Here is a 24318-nt window from a genome sequence, read left to right as displayed (position 1 = left end):
CCGCTGTTGTGAATAGTGCTGCAATGAGCATACAAGTGCAGGTGTCTTTTTAAATTTGATTTCTTTTTCTTTGGGTAGATAACCAGTAATGGGATTGCTCGGTTGAATGGCAGTTCTATTTTTATTTCTTTGAGAAATCTCCGTGCTGTTTTCCATAGAGGTTGAACTAATTTACATTCCTACTAACAGTGTATAAGTGTTCCCTTTTCTCTGCATCCTCACCAACACCTGTTGTCTTTTCACTTTTTAATAATAGTTATTCTGACTGGTGTAACATGGTGTCTCACTATGGTTTAAATTTGCACTTATCTGGTGATTAGTAATGCTGAGCATTTTTTCATGTATTTCTTGGCCACTTGTTTTTATTCTTTTGAGAAATGTCTGTTCATGTCCTTGTGTTTCTGAAATTTACTTTAAAATCTATAAAATGAACATATTTGTGACAGAAATAGCCTTCTAGAAACCTGTCCTAAGGAATAATTAGAAAAGGGTGCAAAGATATATGAATGTTTATTAAAGCTATGTTTTTAATGATCAAAACTCTAAATAACTTGTGTCCATCAGTAAAGATTTGGTAATACAAATTGTGGAGAATACATTACTGTTCAGTCATCAAAATGTGTGTTATACAAAACTATATGGTGATTTGGAAGATGTTCATAATATAGTGAATGGAAAAATGGAGATTATAGAACATTGTACAGTTTAATCTTATATTGCAAAGCTGCATGCACCTGTGTATGTGCGCTCACACACACATATTCTGAGCCCAGAAGGGCTTGATGGTTCCATCTCTTCCTCCTCTTCTTTGCATATTGGTTTTTACTGTTAAAAGAACTTTGGTTGAGCTGGAGGAATAGGAGCTGATGAGTACACAGGTATCTGTAGGCAAGAGAGTAAAATCTGTAAGCAAGAGAGTAAAATGAGTAGAAGTAGTGGCATCTGACCCTATCCTGGCTCTTTTAGACTATCCCTAAGCTCCACTGGCAGGAAGAATAGAGTTAGATTTTGAGGGAGCTATTTTTGTAAAACCTCTTCCAAGTCTGGACACTAGCATTGCTACTTAAAGGCTCAGGTGACAAAGTAAAGAACAAATATTTGGACATGGCCATTTACCCCATTTCTGCATCGAATCCGATGCCACAGGAGAGAACACAAATGGGAGCCACTGGCAGCAGAAGAAGTAACGGGCACTGGAATTCAAGGCTTCCATGGCACAGGACCTTATGAAACAAAAGAATGAAAATAGACATATTCTCAACACAAATAATCTACTTCTCAATCTCCCATAAATATTGTACAGTGGTTACAATTACTATTATAACACTGAGGAATTTTGATTTGGGGAAATATGGGTTTAATAGCTAATATGACATCACTTTAGTTTGTCTGAAACTATCTTTATTTCACCTTTGTTATTTGTAAAGAATTGTTTCCCTAAGTATAGAGTTCTAGGTAGGCAGTTATTTTGTTTTAGCAAAGATGTGATTCCGTTGTCTTCTGGCTTACATTGTTTCTATTGAAAAACCAGATATAGTTTTATTGTCTAAGGTAACTTATTTATAGCTATTGTTTTCTTTATCTCTGGCTTTTTTCTTTTTTTTGAGATGGAGACTCGCTCTGTTGCCCAGACTGGAGTGCAGTGGCACAATCTTGGCTCACTGCAACCTCTGTCTCCCAGGTTCAAGCGATTCTTCTGCCTCAGACTCCTGAGTAGCTGGGACTACAGGTGCACACCACCATGCCCAGCTAATTTTTTTTGTATTTTTAGTAGTGATGGGGTTTCACCATGTTGGTCAGGCTGGTCTGGAACTCCTGGCCTCAGGTGATCTGCCTGCCTTGGCCTCCCAAAGTGCTAGGATTACAGGCGTGAGCCACCACTCCCGGCCATCTCTGGCTATTTTTTCAACATTTTCTTACTGTTGTTTTGTTTTATTTCAGTAGTTTTACTATGTTGTGACTCTGTAGTTTTCTTTATATTCCTTTTGAATTCATAGTATTTCTTGAATCAGTGGTTTGAGGGTTTTCGTCAGTTTTAGAAAACTTAACACCATTATTTTTGCTATAATCTCTCTTTTTCTCATTCTTCTCATTAGGAATCTAATGACATACAGTTTAGACCCTTTGACCACGTATACTATGTCTCTTACATTCTTTGCTATATCTTCTCTCTCTCTCTTTCTCTCTCTCTCTCTCTGGTCATTTTTCTCTGATTTGTCTTTTAGTTCACTAATTCTTGTTTATCTCTTTTTAGTATTTGATTAAATGTATCTTTGAAGTTCTTTGTTAAATCTGTTGTATTTTAATTCCAGATTTTCTACTTTTTTTCAATGGCTTTCAGTCCTCTGCTGAAATTTTTACTTTATCATCAATTATCTTGAATGCACTAAACCCAGGTGTTTTTAAGTCTATTTTGATCAATTTAATCTTGATCACCTATAGGTCTATTTATATTGTCTGTTTTTTTCTCACTCTTGTCCTTTAGTATACCTGGACCTGACAACTATTGATTACATTATAAATATTGTTTATGAAAAATTGTAGAGGCTCTGCATGATATGTGGAGAATGTATTTCTGCTTCTGGCAGGCAGTTAGAATAGAAGCAGATCATCCTAATTTAGTCTGGTATCAAGGTGATTCTATGCTGAGTTGTAATTTTTGGGAATCCTAGTCTGTTTCTCTTACTCCTAGGTGTAGCCCTACCAGGTATTTACTGCAAGTCTAGGTTGTTTATCAAGGTCTATCATCCTTAGCAAGCTCTGGACTTCATGAATATTATGAGACTTTTTAAGAGCTCTCCTTAACGTCTTAGCCTCTCAGTCACTTTTGTTTTTTTCTTCTCAGCCTCTAGGCCTTTTGGAAACTATCTTCCTAAAAGGAAAAGCATCACCAAATGTTTAGCTCACTTTTTTGGTGTACCTTTTTTTGCACTTTTCTGCTGTCTGGGATCTTGTTCCCTCTTCTCGTGACTACATTGACAGCCTTGAACTCCAGTTTTTGTCTCTTTAGCCCCTTGAGATTCCTGACAACTTTGACCAGCTTCTCTGACAGTTGGGCTCATGTTTCTGCTCAGCTTCTGAGCTCTCAGACATGCCCTATTCATAAACTGGCAAATGACTCAAAGGAAAAAGTAGCATGAGATGTTGGGCTTGCTTTCACATGTTTCCCTTCCCTTTGACGTGTTGGATCCCCAGATCCTGGCTGCATTGGGAACTTTCTGCTGCATTCAAACAGGTTTTATTTTGGTATTTTATTCATTTTTGAATTGTTTTAATGGTGACAAAATCTAATAAAAACTAGTCATTTATAGCAGGGAGGGGATATCCTCTCTGAAGGGGAGTCAAGGAGTTATACGTGACTCCTCTCTTTCTCACACACCCCACTCCTAATCTCTCAGCAAATCCTGTTGACTCTACCTTCAGAATATATTCAAAGTCTCCCCACTTCTCACCATCCCCACTGTTACAACTCTGGTCCAAGTCACTTTCACATCTCACCTCATTATAACAATAGCCTCTTTACTGTTGAGACTGTTTCAACCCTTGCTCTCTACAATCTATTTTCAACAAAAAGATTGAACAACCTGTTGAAAATTTAAGTCACTCCTCTGCTGACAACACTACAGTGGGCACCCATTTCACTCAGTAAATTTCAAAGCTGTTATTGTGGTGTTACAGATTGTATTTTCCAAAGATAGCCACATAATATCTTTTGCCTCATATATTTTCTAGAGCTTTGTCATTTCCTCATCAAGAAATGGGGTCTATGTCTCTTCCCATTGAACCTGCACAGACCTTTAGGCAGACTTGATCAGTAGAGTATATCGAAAGTGATGCTCTGTGACTTCCAAGGCTAGGTCACAGGTGCCATGCATTTCTTCCTTGCTCTCTTGGGAAGCTCACACTTGGAAACTAGCCACCAATCTGTGAGGAAGCCCAAGATACCCAGAAAGAGATAATAAAGAGTAGGAATGAGGTCTATAACCCATAGTTTTGGCCGAGATCACAGATTACAGCCAGCACTACCTTGCCAGGATGTGACTAAGCTATCATTTAGGCAGATGCTCCAGCCCCTCGTCAAGCTGCTCCATGTGATGCCATGTGGAGCAAAGATAAGCTCTTTCCACCAATCCCTGCTTAAATTGCAGATTTTGTAAGCAAAATAAACGGTTGTTATTGCCACTAGGCTTGGGGGTAGTTTGTGATGAAGAAATAGGTAACTGACATACATAACCTACAAGATCCTGCATAATATGATTCCTAGATACCTTTTGAAAATCTCACTTCTTCTACATCTTATCTCATCTATTTTACTCTGAACATGTTTGAATGTGCCAAACCTTTCCCTACCTCAGGGCCTTTATGCTGCTTCTTTTGTCTGCCTCGAATATTTTACCTCCTTTTATCCCCAGGCTTTGTTCCCTTACCTCCTTCCAGTCTGAGCTCAAATATAATTTTATCAGTGAGAACTTTTCTAACTACTTTGCTTTTCTCCATAGCACTTCTCATCAACTTACATATTATATATTTTATTTACTGTGGTCAATTGTCTGTCTTTCCCCATAAGAATGTAAACTACCTGAAAGAGCAAATTTGTTTTGAGTCCCAAGTGTTTTTAATGAGCAAATAATAGGGAAACAATAAATTTTGCAGCAAATAAATTTATTTAAAATTTTGCTTTGTTGACTATTTCTGTCATTAATCTCTTTTTTGATGTACGTATTCTCATTAGTCATCCATCTCTTTTTGATATATCCACACTCACGGACAGGTTTACATACAGACACTGGGAATTCCTGAGAAATCTGTCTGTAAAATGTATTCACTCTTCTTGAAGGTATTTACTTTGTTTTTTCAAACAAGCACATGACCTTAGTTTCCTAAGATCAAACTGCATTCGTTAAGTCTTAGAAGTGGCTGGGAATCTCCTTTAAGCTCCCGTTTTGTCAGCTTTCTTTTCTTCACTGGTCTGGTCCTTTCTCCTGTCTTGTCAGTTTAATCCAGTGGTAGCTTCATTTTTTAGCTTTTAGGAAGGGATAGATTGCTCTTGCCTACGTAGTCTATGTCCCATGAAAGATCAAAGTCTGTAAAGTTCCCAGAGTGCAAGAAAACAAGTCTTTTTGCAATCACTCTCCATATTTTTGCTCTCTATTTTTCCTTCTACTTCCCTGTCTGGGCCAGAAAGCCCCTTTTTGTTTTCAATGGATCCTAAAATTGCCTTTCTAGTTAGTTATCAAACCTGTCCTTCTCTATAGTACGACCATATTATACAGTCTTGTTACCATATGTAATCAGAATAAATAAGCAATGCTCTCAATTTCTCCCTTAAACATTGAGGAGTAAAATATCAATAGAAGTCATTTGACCAGATCAAGCACATTTCCATTCTACATGTAATTTGCTGATGTGTTTGCCAAGGGAAAGGTCAAAAGGAAGTTGCATAAAAAATGATTGAATCTGCTTACTTGCTCTTTTTTTAAAGGACCCTTCTAGAGAACATTTGCCTTCGGCAACGGACTCTGAAGGTCACTGTCCTCTGGAGCTTAAGAACCAATATAATCATAGAATCCAGCCACTCAATAAATCCCAGCATCATACTCCAAAAGAGCTGCTGTTTCCAATTTCTTTATTCTTTGTAAAAAATATGGATAGGGATTTGTTTGATAAAAGAGCTGCTGAAATAGAAATAAAGAAATCTTTCAGATCTGATTTTGATTCTTTGCTTACTGTGAGATTAAAACACTCCAAAAGTAACTTTGCTTTTGTTCCTAGATCCCTTCTTAAGTCAAGTCGTCATTCTAAAACTGATCTACTGGATCAAAAAATATTAAATACGAAGAAAAATTGAGACAGATTTGCCAAGTGGTTTGCCTGCCTATATCAAGTAACAAAAGTACATTTGTGCTTAGTATGGAGATGCCATCTTCTTAGAGTTATAAGTGAATTAGCATTGGAAAAACATGTATCTGACAAGACGAATTTGGGGGCCTGACTGACTTAACATTTAAAATGTTTATGGGAAAGAATAGCAAAATGAATAAATGAGAGAGCAGCAATTCAGTGTAACTGAAGAGTTATGGTTATATCTAAGAACAAAGATCAGAGACACAGAGAGTACTTCTAGCAGATGAATTTCATACCTTTTTAAACCTAAGAAATACAGCAAGACCCAACCGATCACCTAAACATGCCTCCCTTATATCCTGGTCTCTTTTTTCATGATTGTTGGGGCTTCTTAAAAGATTGGGTGTCTGCTTCTCCCAGGAGTGATAATGTTACAAAATCTTTTCACAGATGCAAGCAATTTGTTCAAAATAAGGCCTTCAAACTCAACAGTTTTCCAGTGTGTACCTCAAATGGAGAAGAAAAGGACTATCAACTGAAGTTCTGCTGATTTTAATATAAGATTGTGAGAGCAGTCATTTACTGCTCATCCCCTTATATTTCTGTAACACTCTTTCCTTAAGTTCAACTCCTAAGTCTGTGAAGCTGTGGGCAGAGTCTCTGTGTTGACAGAAACTTCAGTTTGGAGTTTCTAAGCGTCTATGTCCACTATTTTTTTTGATAAGAAATTTCCCCTTTTCCCCCATACTTATGTTAAGTAGAAAAAGTGGATTGATTTTTTTTTTTTTTAGATGGAGTCTTGCTCTGTTGCCCAGGCTGGAGTGCAGTGGCACTATCTTCGCTCACTGCAACCTCCATCTCCCAGGTTCAAGTGATTCTCCTGCCTCAGCCTCCTGAGTAGCTGGGATTACAGGCATCCACCACCACGCCTGGGTAATGTTTGTATTTTTAGTAGAGACAGGGTTTCACCATGTTGGCCAGGCTTGTCTCGAACTCTGGACCTCAGGTGATCCACCCGCCTGGGCCTCCCAAAGTGTTGGGATTACAGGTGTGAGCCAACATGCCTGGCCCAACTTTCTTTTTATTAAGAGTAACTCACTCTGAAAGAGAACTGTAGGGAAGAATCCTCTGTAGGGGTTGCCTTTCTGTGATTCTCTTTAGTCACTTCACTGGTGCCCCCTTACAGCACCTGTGATCACTGCTCCCCTCCGTGTGGGCTCCTTCAATTAATGGTTGGCAATAGTGCTTCCCTATAGCCAAATCTTCTGAGGGTTGCTACTGTTATCACTTTCTCATATACAGCCAAGAACTGCTGGAACCCTCTTTGTTTTAGCCCCACATAAACAGAATCACTCTTACACTGTTGAGCCCACCAGCACCATATAATTTTTAGACAGAATGTCAACAAGTCCTATAAAGTTAGACGGGGAAACTAATCTACATGATACTGCAAGATATCACACTTTTAACAGCTATTTAACACTCATTCGTTAGTCTCATAGGCAAATCATAGATCCTGTATTTAAGCTAAAATGCTCTTTTAGCTCAGCATGAGCTTTCAGATTCCCCAAAGGTGTCCCAGCAAGGGCAAAGCAGTGTAGAGCCCTTCACTTCCTCCTAGAAGTGGTGGACGCCAGGTGAGTATTTGGCAAACAAATCACAATCCTCTTCAGACATTCCTCCATAAAGCACAGGGACAACAAGTACCCTAGGCCTAACAAAAATCTCCAGGTACCCATCATTCCACAGGACAGGTATGCAAAATAAATTCTTTACATCTAATGATACATCTAATGCACCCGCACACATGTACTCTGCAGGGTTTGCCTCTGTGTGTGTAAATACATAGAAAATATTTGCTGTTCAGATTTATGTGACTCTGTGTGTGTGTGTGTGTGTGTGTGTGTGTGTGTGTTAAATCCTTTGAAAGCACCATTTACTCTTTATCTCCCTCCCCTATTACAGTTATAGCTAGATCTCAAAACTAAGTTCAAGGTTTACATCTGAGGTATAAGTCACAAGCATGATAATAAATATAGAATATGGGATAGGAGGCAGCAGAGTCTACAGAAAACTCACTGACCTGAGCTTGAATAAAGGTTTAATGTCTGCTGTGTCATGCATATAATTCTGATGTTCATGGTTTGATTTACTTATTTAGAAAGTAAAAATGACTATATATTAGGTTGGTGCAAAAGTAATTGCGATTTCTTAATGGCAAAAATCACAATTCCTTTTGCACCAACCTAATAGTTCAGTGGGGTCACAAATACACTCGAACTACACTCCAATGTGTAGGAAGAAAAATGGGCTCTCTTTATTTTTTCCTTTAACGGATCTGATTTCCTCCCTAAGTCCCCACAATGCACAGCCCAATTCAGTGTTTTCAGATCAAATAACTTAAAGTCTCTTTAGACAAATTCTCAATCTCATTTGGATGAAAGCATTGACTTTTTTTTTCTGACCTCTCTTCTGCTCCTCTTAAGGACAGTGTTGGGACAGAGAGGGAAGTGTGGCTCCAGCAACCTTGTGGTGGTGGAGGGGAGCCTGGGTCCCCGATTGCTTTGTGCTATGTCTGGAGTGGAGACAAATGTTGCCTAACTAGTCCTGGCCTCATTTCCCTGCATAGTCTTGGTGTCTGCTGTTGGGGTCTGATGCTTGTGTAACTTGTGGGCTGGTTCCTCAGCTTGACAGGGCCTAGCCACACTCTATCAAGATGTGGCTCCTCTTACTTGCTTTATGGATATGGTTATCACTCCAAATTTGTCCTTGTCAACTCTCCAGCTCATGACATTATCAACCCTTTGCCCCACCAGGGCCACTCCAGCCAAAGTTCTTCATCCCAACTCTCAGCCAACTGTGTGCCACCCTACTCCAAGGACAGAGGAGAACTCCAGGGCTCTATAAATTCCACTTATGACTCAATGCTGTGGTGTGTGTGTGCAAACCCTCTTCTTACAGGCAATACTACGCTGCACCCCAAGATTGCAATAGATAGTCTACAAGGGGATTTCCTCTCAGATCCTAATGTGAAGTTTGGCAGAAGCTCTCCTGCCCTCTTGTTTTCCTCAGTGTATTTCAAATGCTTTTCATCACTTCTTGAACTTTCAATCCAGAGAGGAAAGGCAGGAATAGTTTGCATCTCACTGTTTCTTCTCACTCTGTCCATTTTTCTCTTCTCACAATACTTGTACTAGAAAAGAAATGCATACCTCTCCCTCTTTCTGTAATGGCAATTACACCTAAATATCTAGGCTCAAAATAATAGATACTTTCTTAAACACATATACATTCCAGAGTGGTCTTAGGATGGAGGTAAGGTAGTGTTTCAGTTTTCTACCAATACATAATAAGTTACCCCAAACTTAGCAGCTCAAAATAATACTTAGTTTTATGATATTTCAGAATTTTGTGGATTTAGTATTCAGAAAAGGCTCTATTGCACAGTTCTTCTCTGCTCTGCATGATCTCAGATGAGGAAGCTCAACTGGGACTGGAGGATGTCCTTCCAGGACAATTTACCCATGGGGGTGAGCAAGTTGATACTGGTTTTCGGGAGCCTCTTAACAGGGCTCCTTAGACTTCCGAACAGTAGAGTGCCTAGGTTCCAGGAAGCCTAGATGGGAGTTTTAAGGTAGCATCACGATGGTACTTTATTTATTGAACAGTCAGGTCAATGAGGTCAGCTTAAATTTAAAGGGAGGGGAGGAGTAGACTCCATATTCTGATGGGGAATGGCATGTTCCCATAGGTAAGAAAGGAACTGATGGCAGTCGTCTTGGAAAATAAGCTGCCATATTTTTTATTAAGCTCCAGGTAGTCATTCAGGGACTCAACCTGTAACTTCTAAGGTCATCCCAGGGGTTTCCTTCATCCCAGACATCCAGACATGTGGAAGAAGGAGGGAACATATGCGGCATATTTTTGAACATGGCCTGAAAGGGGCACATAGCACTTCAACTTACAGTCCATTGACTAGAACTCGGCTACAGGGTCACACATGACCTCAAGGGAGGCTGAGAATGGAGCTTCACTGTGGATCCAGAAAAAAGAAGACAACAGGGTTCTTGGTGAGCAGAGGTCACAGCACACTCTGTAGTCAGGTCAGCCAGGCTAGCCGTTGTTATGATATGCAGGAACTGAGAAAGTTTAGAAAAGTTTATCTTTCTTGGCAATGACTGACTTTCAAATCTATTTTCCTCACAGTGAGTTTTCTTAAAAAAAAAATCTATTTCGACAGTCAGAGATGAGCAATGAATGACCTTATTGTACTGTGGCTGTTTGCCACGCTGAGTGGAAAGCTCCAGAGCCGCAAGACTGACAGGGGGTGAAAATGCATCTGAGAAGACAGAACCTTTTCCTATCTTCATCATGTATGTTTACATAATAAAATCATATGCATGATTATCAGATGACTGCATACACCAAAATTTTGTTGGTTTGAAAGAACTGAAATATTTATTTTGAAATTTGGTTTGCTCTTGAACAGCAACAGTAGATCCATCTCCAAAGTCCTCAGGCACCCTAGAAGCTAGAGAAATAATTATATTCATCTTTATAACCCTGTCTCCCTCCAGAGAGCAAATATTTGTTGAGCACCTACTATCATCTAGGCACATTTTTAGATACTGGGTATCCATCACCAATGACCGAATCCCTTTGTTCATAGGGGCTACATTCTATTGTAGGACTTACATTCTGGTGGGCATATGCTCCAATACCTAATGAAGTATTCAAAGTTTAAAAATACTTGTAGAATGTGAAGGGATAAATTATTATAAACTCTAAGATACAAGGTAATTTTAGGCTCTTTAAGCTTTTAGAAAAAAACAACATGTTGAATCTGAAAAAAATTATTTAAAACGTAAAGAATTTGAGTGCTTACTATCTATGCACTTATTACTTATGCAAAAAGTATTAATATGATTACTAGCCATCAGAAATGTGAAAATATCCTGAGATCAAGCATTTTTCTCACTTCTTCCATCTAATTGCTACTCAATAACAAATTATTAATAAAAGATAGAGTATACTACTGAAATGAATACAAACATTGTAGGAAAATATTGTTAAAACATTTCTTAACTTACAAAAGGTAAAATAGGTCCTTCAAAATTATTTTGGTAATATACAAAATTTCTAAATAATGTCATAATAACTTTATGTACGTAATTATTCCTGTGGTTGTAACTGCTTTTGTAATCAAGTGATTGTTTCAATAAATATGTGAATCCCAGCCAGACTTGGTGAACAACAATAATGAAATCAGCACATAGCCCTCTAAAGACTAGACTACTTTTTAACTCTCTTCCATACATTTCTATGCATCTTTTCATTTTTTTTAATCCCAGTTAATGATTTGTATGGAAAGTGAGGCCATTCTACACAAACTTAAACTCAGATAATATTATGAGGTTTGCAGATTAAACCATGGAAAATTAACATTGGGAACACTCAGTATTATTCCATCACTTAATTGCCATGTCACCTTGCTCTGTAACTGTCTGCTCCTTAATCATTTACCGTCTGTTAGATGGGAAAACTTCCTCCATGGTTTTATAAAGATTAGATAATAACTATAAAGTAATTTCTGGAGAAAAGCTCTTGGCAGAGGTATCATAGGGATAGATAATAGTTTATTATTAACTGACAAGATGGAATCCAACTATCCAAGTCATGGGAAGCAGTAATGGCTAAGAAGTCCAGTGCATTAGATTGTGCATAATAAATGTGACTTGGTAAAGGTTAGGATAAACAAAGACAGTGTGATGGACAACACTGGCCCTGAGCTTTTTATGCCCCATAGATGTCTCCTAATTAAATCTGATACGTAAGTCCCGTGGCAGTCATAAAGTAAGAAAAACATTGAAAATATGCTTTCAAGCATAAGCATTTAAACTTCTTTGGGAAACAGATTAATTAAATGCACTTGTAGGAAAATGGAAGGTTTAGGAAAGAGTTATTCCTGCTACTACTAGCCAGTATTTCCAAGACCAATCAAGAGCCAGGGAAGAAATTGTGGAGAATAATACACAGAGGGAATACTGTACTTCAGAGCTGGAAAATTTCCTCTGGAGTAGGTAAGGTAAGTCGCCAGCGTGATTTTTTAATAGCAGTCCTTTGAAGGATGAGTAGCTCCCTTGAAGGAGATGAGATCATTGAATCAGAAACAAACTGGGGACATCTGACCTGAAAGTGAACTTAGATTAGGGAGTGAGACTATAGATTAGATCACCTCTCCAAGAGCCAACCAGGTAGCCTTCATCGGAAAAATGAAGATATAATATGCTTATAGCACCAGTATATTAATTGGCCTTTATATTTATTCCAAGATAATCCCAAGGAAAACATGGTAATATCTCAGGAAGTCAGAATCCTGGGTAGGTTGGTGGACACAGGTGTGTGTTGTAGGCGTGTTTTGCAAAAGTTCCATGTGACTGTTTTTACTTAAAGATATTGGCTCACATCCCTGTTTTTTTGTTTTTTTGTTTTTTTGTTTTAAATTTATTTTTTTATTGATAAATCTTGGGTGTTTCTCAGAGAGGGGGATTTGGCAGGGTCATGGGACAATAGTGGAGGGAAGGTCAGCAGATAAACAAGTGAACAAAGGTCTCTGGTTTTCCTAGGCAGAGGACCCTGCCGCCTTCCGCAGTGTTTGTGTCCCTGATTACTTGAGATTAGGGATTGGTGATGACTCTTAACGAGCATGCTGCCTTCAAGCATCTGTTTAACAAAGCACATCTTGCACCGCCCTTAATCCATTTAACCCTGAGTGGACACAGCACATGTTTCAGAGAGCACAGGGTTGGGGGTAAGGTCACAGATCAGCAGGATCCCAAGGCAGAGGAATTTTTCTTAGTGCAGAACAAAATGAAAAGTCTCCCATGTCTACTTCTTTCTACACAGACACGGCAACCATCCGATTTCTCAATCTTTTCCCCACCTTTCCCGCCTTTCTATTCCACAAAGCAGCCATTGTCATCCTGGCCCGTTCTCAATGAGCTGTTGGGCACACCTCCCAGACGGGGTGGTGGCCGGGCAGAGGGGCTCCTCACTTCCCAGTAGGGGCGGCCGGGCAGAGGCGCCCCTCACCTCCCGGATGGGGCGGCTGGCCGGGCGGGGGGCTGACCCCCCAACCTCCCTCCCGGACGGGGCGGCTGGCCGGGCAGAGGGGCTCCTCACTTCCCAGTAGGGGCGGCCGGGCAGAGGCACCCCTCACCTCCCGGACGGGGCGGCTGGCCGGGCAGGGGGGCTGACCCCCCCCACCTCCCTCCCGGACAGGGCGGCTGGCCGGGCGGGGGGCTGACACCCCCACCTCCCTCCCGGACGGGGCGGCTGGCCGGGCAGGGGGGCTGACCCCCCCCACCTCCCTCCCGGACAGGGCGACTGGCCGGGCGGGGGGCTGACACCCCCACCTCCCTCCCGGATGGGGCGGCTGGCCGGGCAGAGGGGCTCCTCACTTCCCAGTAGGGGCGGCTGGGCAGAGGGGCCCCTCACCTCCCAGACGGGGCGGCTGGCCAGGCGGGGGGCTGACCCCCCCACCTCCCTCCCGGACGGGGCGGCTGGCCGGGTGGGGGGGCTGACCCCCCCATCTCCCTCCCGGACGGGGTGGCTGGCCGGGCTGAGGGGCTCCTCACTTCCCAGTAGGGGCGGCCGGGCAGAGGTGCCCCTCACCTCCCGGACGGGGCGGCTGGCCGGGCGGGGGGCTGACCCCCCCACCTCCCTCCCGGACGGCACGGCTGGCCAGGTGGGGGGCTGACCCCCCCACCTCCCTCCCGGACGGCACGGCTGGCCAGGCCGGGGGCTGACCCCCCCACCTCCCTCCCGGATGGGGCGGCTGGCCGGGCGGGGGGCTGACCCCCCCCACCTCCCTCCCGGACGGGGTGGCTGCCGGGCGGAGACGCTCCTCACTTCCCAGATGGGGTGGCTGCCGGGTGGAGAGGCTCCTCACTTCTCAGACGGGGCAGCTGCCGGGCGGAGGGGCTCCTCACTTCTCAGACGGGGTGGTTGCCAGGCAGAGGGTCTCCTCACTTCTCAGACGGGGCGGCCGGGCAGAGATGCTCCTCACCTCCCAGACGGGGTCTCGGCCGGGCAGAGGCGCTCCTCACATCCCAGATGGGGCGGCGGGGCAGAGGCGCTCCCCACATCTCAGATGATGGGCGGCCGGGCAGAGACGCTCCTCACTTCCTAGATGTGATGGCGGCTGGGAAGAGGCGCTCCTCACTTCCTAGATGGGATGGCGGCCGGGCGGAGACGCTCCTCACTTTCCAGACTGGGCAGCCAGGCAGAGGGGCTCCTCACATCCCAGACGATGGGCGGCCAGGCAGAGACACTCCTCACTTCCCAGACGGGGTGGCGGCCGGGCAGAGGCTGCAATCTCGGCACTTTGGGAGGCCAAGGCAGGCGGCTGCTCCTTGCCCTCGGGCCCCGCGGGGCCCGTCCGCTCCTCCAGCCGCTGCCTCCCGGGCGGCGCTTGCCGGCGCGGCGGCAAAGACTTCACATCCCTGTTAAAGGCATCCCATTTTTATTTCTTTTGTAAAGAGTGGAAACTTTTGGCAGGAGAATTATCAACCACGTGACTCCTTTAGGTGTAATATTTGCTTAAGATGTGATATACACCAATGAATGGTAAGAAGCCTTCTACATAGGAAAATTTAGTCAATAAATGTTTATATGGGCACCTAATATTTGTAAGGATATTATGTTTGGTTTGTAAAGTATAAAAGAACAAATAAGACATTTCCTCTCATTGAGCTCACATTTTAACATAGATAAGAGTCTCTGGATAATTAGTTCTGTGAGATGTAGCATAAATATATGACTATATATATATGCAGTATATATACATATACAGTAGAATCAAGAAAAGAATGAGCAATATAGAATTGAGAAACATATCATAGAGTAGATGAAATTTTAAGCAAAACTTAAAGAACAAATAGGATTTCTAACAAGTAGAAGAAGGAAAGAAGTGTATTCAAGGCAAAACAAAACAGTCAAGGCAGGTGATCTGAAAGTTCATTGTTTATTCTAAACTTGAAGACTGGTGCAGTGTGGCCAGATTATAAAACTATGTGGTGAAGTGTGAAGTCAGGGGTGTATCTACCATGAGGTGGAGTTGTTACTTTCCTTTATTGCATACATAATGGAGGATCATTAAGGGTTTTTGAGCATAGGAATGGCATCATTAGATTTGTGTTTTAAAAGCATTAAATGGCAGTGTGGTGAATGAATTGCAAAGTAGAGAGTCTGTGATTAGAATAAATTAAATACTTATCAGGTTAATTGGATAATATACAAGAAAACATTTGATAAATTTATAAAGAACAAAGCTAAGTGTAAATTTCTATTATTTATGGTCCAGGAAAGAAGTGATAAGTACCTAAACTATGGAAGTGTCAAAGGCATTAGGAAATAGCAAATGTTTGAGAGACATTTTAGAGGTAACAATAATAGTAATAACAGTGGACATTTATTAAGTGGGTGCTATGTTTCAGGCACTGTTTTAAGTGCATTCCATGGATTATTTCATGTAATCCTTACTATGCTTTAAGAAGAAGGAACCATTTCAAAGATCTAAAAACTGAGTGGAGAGATTGTGTAACTTGCTCACATCTCATGAATAGTAAGTGGTGAAGTTAGGAAATGAATTCGGGCAGCCTGACTCGAGACATGCTCTTATGTCCAATTACACAAGGAGATGAATTTTAGTAGTGGCTAGGGGATAGAAGGAGTGAAAATGATCTACAGTGGCTGTCTAAAAGTATCTTTCGCAAACACTAGTTTTTCAGAATGTTAATGGATGTGATGCAAGAAAGGGGATAAACATCAAATAAAATACTGGGATAAACAAAATAAACATGCTTTCTACTGCTGGAGATCTAAGAGCTTTTAGAAGTTTAATTTTCATTGAAAACCTCCAAACAAGTGTTATATAATATGTAGAATTTCCCAGACTTATTTGACCATAAATCTCTTTTATAATTTAATCTTTTGGGGTATAGCGTTCTGGAATACAATCCAGAAACTGTTGATGTGGAGATCCTGCTTTGGGCACAAGATATGGAGCAACAGTGTTGTGGATAAAATAGTAAATTTGGTTTGGATATCTTGAGTGTCAAGTGCCTCATGGGAAGATTCATAATAGAATATTGTCGATTTAGGTCTTAAGAATGCACCAGAATTGGAGAGGTAGATGTGTAAGTCCCTCATAGGTGGGTGACAATGAAGACTCGAGCTTAGTTGCAAGCTCACTAAGGGGAAGAGAGAAAGGGAAGACCAAGGAGTTCATTTTGGGTGTTGCCTACTTCCAAAGTCAGTTTGGGCAGGGCTTGGCTGATGTTTAACTGATATTTAAAATTGATAACATTTTGTTCAGTTATTTCTAATGGTGAATTGTCTGTTAAGTTTCAGCATATCCACATGTATAATTTAAGCCATAGATGTTTTTAATAACTGTATTTCTCCAGTATAATTGACCAAGTAGGAACACAAATTTCTTAATTTATTAAAATATTAGGCCAGGCGCAGTGGCTTACACCTGTAATCCCAGCACTTTGGGAGGCCGAGGCATGTGGATAACCTGAGGTCAGGAGTTCGAGACCAGCCTGACCAACACGACGAAACCCCGTCTCTACTAAAAATACAAAAATTAGCGGGCGTGGTGGCAGGTGCCTGTAATCCCAGCTACTCGGGAGGCTGAGGCAGGAGAATTGCTTGAACCCGGGAGGTGGAGGGTGCAGTGAGCCGAGATCATGCCACTGCACTCCAGCCTGGGCGACAGAGCAAGACTCTATTAAAAAAAAAATTAGCCTGGTTGATCTCTTTTCTCTTGGGGGAGATGGTCTCTAATATGAACACAGACATAGCTCAACTTTAAGTGCAATGATGTAGACTCCTGATTAGCCTTCCAAATGTAACTTGCCCCCATGACTGCCTTATATAAATTTAAGGGAATATTATTTCCTACATATGAAAATATCCTTAAATTTTAAACAAGAGATCTCCTGTTAATTTAATCCATGGCAACAGAGATTTTCTCAAACCAAATAGTTCCAGGAGGATCTATTTTAGCTGCAACATCTGTGAGCCATTCTAAAGGCTTTCAATAAAAAATAAAATCATATAATATGTGACTAGAAACAACAAAAGCCAAATTGGATTGCTCTCTGGAAAAGGAATTTCAAATTGTGTTTTAAACCTACAGACTTTTGGGAGGAAAGGTTTAAAAAAATTATATTTATTTATGTAAAAACAAATGGCTTCAGGCAAATGAGCTATTCAATCCTCGATTTTGTTGAGGACATGTTTTCAATGTAAGGCCAATGTTAACCTAAAACAAGATAAAATTAAGGAGAGAGAATGAGTTTAGCTATTCTTTTTTCCACATTCTCTTAACCCCTCTCCAGTTCATTATTTTTTTTCCACATTCTCTTAAACCCTCCCCAGTTCATTTTAGACACTTTTGGTAGATGAATATACCTAAAGCACAGGGTTTAGTCAGTCTTGTAATTTCTCTGCATGCAAAATCTTAATGGTTCTCCACCATGTAGGTATTGAAGTCCAGACCCCTTAGACTAACATCAGGGTCCCACAGGCCCAGGATTTTGTGTGGCTTTTTTTTTTTTTTTTTGAGATGGAGTCTCCCTTTGTCGCCCAGGCTGGAGTGCAGTGGCATGATCTCAGCTCACTGCAACCTCCGCCTCCCAGGTTCAAGCGATTCTCCTGCATCAGCCTCCCGAGTAACTGAGATTGCAGGCGCCCACCACCACAACCAGCTGATTTTTGTATTTTTAGTAGAGAATGGGTTTCATCATGTTGGCCAGGATGGTCTCGATCTCTTGACCTCGTGATCTGCCCTCCTCGGCCTCCCAATGTGCTGGGATTACAGGCGTGAGCCATCGTGCCCAGCCTGTGTGGCTTTTCAGTCTGATCTCCTATTGCTCTGCTTCTTGCCTGGAAGATTCCAACCAGCTCGACTGCTTGTTTACCACACACAAACTCTACATTCCTCATTCTGCTTCTTTGCTTATATTTTTTCTTTTTTTAGATTACTTTTCTTTCTTCACCAACTCCAGCTAGAGGTAAATCGCTTCTTCTCTTATCTCCTCCTTATTTCATATAGAATTCCTAACACACTTAACCATTTTCTAACTTGTATTATCGCTGTACAGGAAGGCTGCATGGTGGGGCAGAAAGATTCATGCAGCCTTGAGGATCAGCCAGACGCCAGTTTCATATTCCATCTCTGTGTCTTATTAGCTAAGTGGCCTTTGGCAATTCTCTTAACCTGGCTGAGCCTCAATTTTCTTATCTGTAAAATGGAGATAAAATGTCATCTGTAAGATTTTTCAGCATTCTACTTGGCACACAGACATTAATATACATTAGCCTCATTTTCAATAGAGCTTAGTCCTGTGTTTGCTTTCCAAGTAGGTATATATCATCTCTACTAAAAGACTGTAGAATTGGAGAAAAATTACCTACTTAATTTGGCTGTTAAAAGAGTTTTTAAAATAATGTATACAAAGCATATAGTTTAGTTCCTGGCACAGAGTAATCATAATAAATGGCAGCTCTATTGTTGCTATTATTTTTTAAGAGTATAAACTTCTGTAAGTAAGGCTTGTGTGCAATTTATCTTTGAATTTCTGCCAGGGTTTAGCAGTGTTTAGTTGATGCTTAACTATTATTCATGGAATGTATACTTCCATATTTTTGGGATCAAGTTTGTAAAGTGAGAAATAATGATTTCAGAAATACCAAAGATAGGTCTATTTTGTAGGTTTTATTTCTGAAATAATCCAGGTGCATTTAATTAAATTTGGTGCCCAATTCAACACTCAAAAGCATAAAGAGCAGAGCTCCAGAAGAAAACATCTTTACAAATGTCTTTTTAAAGAAAATTGTGATAAAAATACACACAACATAAAATTCAACTATTTCTAACTGTACAGTTCAGTAGTGTTAAGTATATTCACATTGTTGTGAATATATAATTTACCCTTGAACAACACAGATTTGAACTGTGTGGGTCCACTTATACATGAGCTTTTTTCAATAAAAGTTATACCAAGTGGGCTGAGCACGGTGGCTCACCCCTGTAATCCCAGTACTTTGGGAGGCTGAGGCAGGCAGATCACAAGGTCAGGAGATTGAGACCATCCTGGCTAACACGGGGAAAACCTGTCTCTACTAAAAATACAAGAAAACTTAGCTGGGCATGGTGATACGTGCCTGTAGTCCCAGCTACTTGGGAGGCTGAGGCAGGAGAATCACTTGAACCCAGGAGGCAGAGGTTGCAGTGAGTCGAGATCGTGCCACTGCACTCCAGCCCGGGTGACAGAGTGAGACTCTGTCTCAAAAAAAAAAAAAAAAAAAAAAAGTTTACACCAAGTGTGCTTACCTCTCCTGTCTCTCCTTTCACCTCCTCCACCTCTTCCGCCTCTGCCATTCTTGAGACAACAAGACCAACCCTTCCTCTTCCTCTTCCTCCTCCTACTTCACCTACTCAACATGAAGATGATGAGGATGACACCTTTAGGATGATCCACTTCCAATTAATGAATAGTAAAAATATTTTCTCTTTCTTATGATTTTCTTAATAATATTTTCTGTCTCTACTTTCTATTGTAAGAATACAGTATCTAATACATACAGCATGCAAAATATGTGTTAACTGACAGTTTATCAGTATGGCTTCCAGTCAACAGTAGGCTATTAGTAGTTAAGTTTTTGGAGAGTAGTTAAGTTTTGGGAGAGTCATATGTGGATTTTTGACTGCACGGAGTTGGGAGGGGAAATTGGCATCCCTAACCTCCATGTTGTTCAAGGGTCAACTATAGTTCTGTAGTTCTCCAGATCTTACAAATCTGGACTCCATACTCATTAAACAACAACTCCCTTTTTCACCCTCCCTGCAGCCCTCAGTCACCTCCATTCTATTTCCGGTTTCTAAGAAGAAAACATTTTTAAAAGGAAAAAAAAAAAAAGAGGAGAATTCTATTATGAGTACCCCATCCATTAATTATCACTGGAGGTGAAAAAACAAAGAAAAATAAGAAAACAGAGAGATGTCCCTAGCACACAGAGCCTGTCACATGCTGAGTTAATAAGACTAAAACTTGGAGCAAACTCGTCCTTGGCTGGGAAGCCAGAGATGAATATCAAGCCTTGTCTAGGATGCAAGAGGGGAAGTAATGCAGGAAGGCCAGAATCAGTTTCTGGATATTAGAACAGAGCAAGGCCAAGAGCTGAATTAGGGGTGAGACCACAACCACAGTCTAAGGGCTATCATGAGATTTCAGTAAGAAGACAGGGAGGAAATGGAGAGAAGAGATGAAGAAGGAAAGGGCAATAAACCTAGTTCCTGTGGGTGGGTCTGACTCTTGGGCATCTTTTAAAGGACTAAACATGGGCCTCTTGGGCAACACTGGGCGGTGCCTTCTGGCACGTGCTCCAGGTTGCTGGGATGGGCAGCAAATGAGGAAGGACCTCTTCCCACCTCTCCACTTGACTAAGTGGTGATTATAAGAACTGAGGCGCACAAATATTTTCACCTGATTTCATGAATATAGACATATTTTTTGGAGGAGTCGATGGAGAGGGTTGGAAAAAATAGGATTTATCTGGGTCACGCCCACTTTCAAATGGGCCTGCTGGGAAAGAAGATGCTTAAGGAAATCAAGGCAAAAAAAAAAAAAAAAAAAAAAAAAAAAACTTCTAAACTAAAAATCATGAGTCCTAGATTGTTTTCCAACTCCACCCAGTCTTTTTATGTATGACCTTTGGCTAGTCCAATCTACTGGCCTTCGTGTTCCCCTTAGGATCAATTTCCTTAAAATTTTCAAGAACTTTGTATATCAAGTTGATTCACTGAATAAAACCAGATATAGTCTTACCCTTGTATGGTGACTACTTTGGTTTTTTGATTCTCAAAATTGTTCCACAGTCATATTAAAAGTTAACACTTGGTGGTACACATATCTGAAAACTAAGGTTAGCCCAAAGAATAAAACAAAATGAACTTTAATAAATGATTTAGCTGCCGTAACTAAATCAATTTCTTGATCATGAACTACTTAAGGACAAACTTCCTTTTTTGTCCACACCCATCTTCCTTAGACTACCATGGTAGTCTGCGTGGGCTAAGAGGACAGTAGCCGCCTGGAGTGTCCAGACAGCAGGCTCAGAAGACAGATGTGAAGTCAGTCTTCTGCCCCATTCCTTCTGCTGTATTAGAAATACAGTGATGAAGGGACACACATAGTCCTTTGAGTCTTGGACCTTACAGTCTAATGCAGAATAAGGGAGCTTATATTCTAATATAAAAGAACGTATTAAAAATAATCCAGAAGAGAATTAAAATGGTGATACCTCATGAGAAGTTCTAGGAAAGTAATAAAACAGAAATAGTGATATACATTAAGAAGAGAGATCTTTAGCGAAGAAATGCCCTGGAATGCAATATCAAGTTTTTTCAAAGTAAGCAAGCATGTGACCATGACTTATTATATTTTAATACCCGGCTTCTAATTTTGTCCATAGCAGCAGCATGGTGTTTTACTGTACAGTCTCTGGACGAGGGACGGAGGTTGTCTCCTCTCACCTTCCCACTGGTCTGCCTTGAATTTCTTTCCTCCCTCCTTACCTAAAGTTCTCACTTTCTTGCCCTGCTGTGACTTAGTTTTCTATTGCTACTCTAACAATTTACCATAAATTTATTGGCTTAAAATAACACAAATGTATTACTTCACAGTTCCAGAATTCCAATGCAGGTCTTACTGGGGTAGAATCAAGGTGTTGACATAGCTGCAGCCATTCTGGAGGCTCTAGGGGAGAATCTGTTTCTTCACCTTTTCCAGCTTTTAGAGGCTCCACCTGTTCCTTGGCTCATGGCTCCCTTCCTCCATGTTCAAGGCCAGCAGTCTAGTATCTCCTTGACCCTCCTTCCATAGTCGAATCTCTTCCTTTTATCACAGCTAAGAAAAGTTCTTCAGTTTTTAAGACTCAAGTGATTAGACTGAGCCCTCCTGCATAATCCAGGATCATCTCATCACTTCAAGATCTTTAATTTAATCACATTGCAAAATCACTCTTATCATGTAAGCTAACATATTCACAGTTTCCAAGGATAAGGATGTGGATATATTTGAGGGCCATTATTCCACCTTCCACACTGAGATAACTAGAGCTTTCAGGTTTCTCATGGGAGAATTAAAGCCTATCATCTCTGGAAAAACTTTCATTCCCTCAAATATTGGCTAAGAATTATGGAGACAGTAGAGAAATAAACACATTCACAGTAAGGTTGTAATAGCTGGCACAGTCTATAGTTTCTTGTGGCATTTGATTACAAATGTTAAAAAAAACTTCAATGGGTCATATTTCTGGCTATATTACAGGTAGGCATATACTTCTTGATTTCAACTGGACTGTTCTCTTTTGAGTAGAATTATCTCATAATAGGGACAGAGGAGGGAAAAAATAAAACTTGCAGACTCTCCTCTGCTGTAGGGAGAGGCGAGAACTACTTTGATTTCTCTCCCCAACACATTTTGTTTGGAGATGAGGTCCAAACAACCTTAGTAAAGGCCAGGTTTTAGCATGTAAATGAATAGAGCAAACTCCTTGTGAGAGAAGTTCAAAATAGAGAAACTGTGCATGAAATAGAAATACCTCTTTTAACTCTGCCTTGTCATAGGTTCATCAACTTTACAGACCCTTTGATCTTTTTCATATGCTCATGACCATTTCTGACCCTTAGCTCTCTCCTCCTCACCCTGCCACTATCAAGCTAAGACTAGAGAAGCAGGAATATCTAGCCTTCTCTGTCAAGGAACTCAGAGCAACTTCCTATTACATTACATATCTTTTTCTCAATTCCAGTTTCCATATCACCTTTTCCCCCACATCAGGAAAAATCTATAACCCATTTCAGCACCTAACAGAGTACTTGGCTAATGATATGTGCACAATAGGTATTAAATGAATAAATGAATAATTTCTGATCTAGGAAACTGAGCTGTAATGACTGTGTGGCAGCAGCTACCATTGATTGAATACCTACTTATTGTACTGAGGCAGCTTTCCCATATTTTCTAGGTCTTCACATATTTTATCTCTTTAATCTTCCCACCAATTCTATGAGGTTGGTATTACTGTCTCTATTTTAAGATCAGGGGCTTTAAGAAACTTCCCTAGGATTACACAGCTAATAAGAGAGCCAGGACTTAAAGTGAGATCTGTCTCACACCTAAGTCCACTGTTCTTCCTGACTCTGTGCTGCTCCCTTCCTCCTTACCATCTTGGTCCAGTGAGAAACTCAGATAAGCATTAGCTAACAAACCTCCAGTCTTAGCTTGATAGTGGCAGGGTGGGGAGGAGAGAGCTAAGGGTCAGAAATAGTCCTGAGCATCATTATGAGCACGAAATACTTTTAACTGTGCTGTAATGATTATGTGTGGTATTCAATATGGGTTAGATGAATACTTATGGCTGTTTTGATTGCTCTCTTTATAGAGTTATTATTTTTGCCTATGTGTATGATTACTCAAAAGGTGTAAAAACTTTAGCCAAGAATCAAGCAAATTGCCAAACTTTATAACTAAATCCTGCCTGGGTTGGTCTTTTAGAGACCCTATATCATCACCTAGTGAGGCTTCCTCAAACCCTGCTATCTATAATTCAGAATTTAAAAAAATTTCTAAACTATAAGAGAAAAAGGTGACTAAGAGGATTTTGATTTCTGGGGTGCCTATTTTAAAATTCTTTTTGAAATATCACTTTTTAACAAATAATTTTTGTGTTTCTGATTTGCCGGTGCTGCCAACATGGGTTAACAGTGTCCACCGGGTAATCTGGCACTGGGCTTCGCTATTAAGTTGCTAAGTCTTTGGGTTTCTAGAGGAAAACTGGGAGAAAGCTGGGTGGCCAAGTGAACTGTGAAACCCAAAGACCTCTTGAGGTCACTTGAGTTTACTTCAGTACGTTTTTTTTTTTTCCTCCTCATACCATTTGTTCATACTCTTTCTTAGAAAAGCTAGGTTTGTATTCTATGTCGCAATGGATGATTTTCCCTACGTTTTAAACTCCCATATCTGTTTTAAACTCCGGGGAAAACTGTTCCTTGTTAGGATCGATGCACATTTTTCTTCCTTGGGTTTTGCATCGGTAAATTTCTAAAGATCCCTTTTCCGTAGAGCTTTCAAGATGAATAGCCAGTTCATAAAAACTGTCAAGTGCCTTGCAAATACCAAGAAATAATTCAGTCATGTTAATCTTTTACATGCAAATTTTGTTTCTTGTTATAGAAGTGTAAAATATGTAGTCATATGAAACCCCTTTGGTTATGTATTTAGGGATCCCAGGAGGATACATTGGATGAAAACCAATATTCACTCTAACAAGCACTTACTGAAATTCCATTAGGTGCGAAGAACCATGGTAGGTACTAAGGACACAAAGATGAAAATG

At 40.8% G+C, this 24318-nt stretch overlaps 3 long non-coding RNA genes across 3 annotated transcripts in view; 2 read left to right on the top strand and 1 right to left on the bottom strand.

The window, feature by feature from the left end:
- The window catches only part of LOC128966561 (uncharacterized), a 17214-nt gene extending 6958 nt beyond the window's left edge, over positions 1-10256 (top strand). Inside the window, exons 3-4 of the long non-coding RNA XR_001749905.2 lie at positions 9250-9374; positions 10051-10256. This is a non-coding gene — a long non-coding RNA (uncharacterized LOC128966561). The remainder of the gene's footprint in view (positions 1-9249; positions 9375-10050) is intronic.
- The window catches only part of LINC00393 (long intergenic non-protein coding RNA 393), a 116003-nt gene that overhangs the window by 73342 nt on the left and 18343 nt on the right, over positions 1-24318 (top strand). The gene's annotated exons all lie outside the window — the stretch shown is intronic.
- LINC00392 (long intergenic non-protein coding RNA 392) lies at positions 683-24318 on the bottom strand. The gene is made up of 3 exons (NR_047009.1): positions 24260-24318; positions 1117-1223; positions 683-882 (listed from the first exon to the last, which is right to left on the bottom strand). It is a non-coding gene; the product is annotated as a long intergenic non-protein coding RNA 392 (long non-coding RNA).

The sequence above is a fragment of the Homo sapiens genome, chromosome 13 (assembly GCF_000001405.40).
Source record: "Homo sapiens chromosome 13, GRCh38.p14 Primary Assembly".
Lineage (NCBI taxonomy): Eukaryota > Metazoa > Chordata > Mammalia > Primates > Hominidae > Homo > Homo sapiens.
This window is presented reverse-complemented; position numbering and strand designations above follow the sequence as displayed.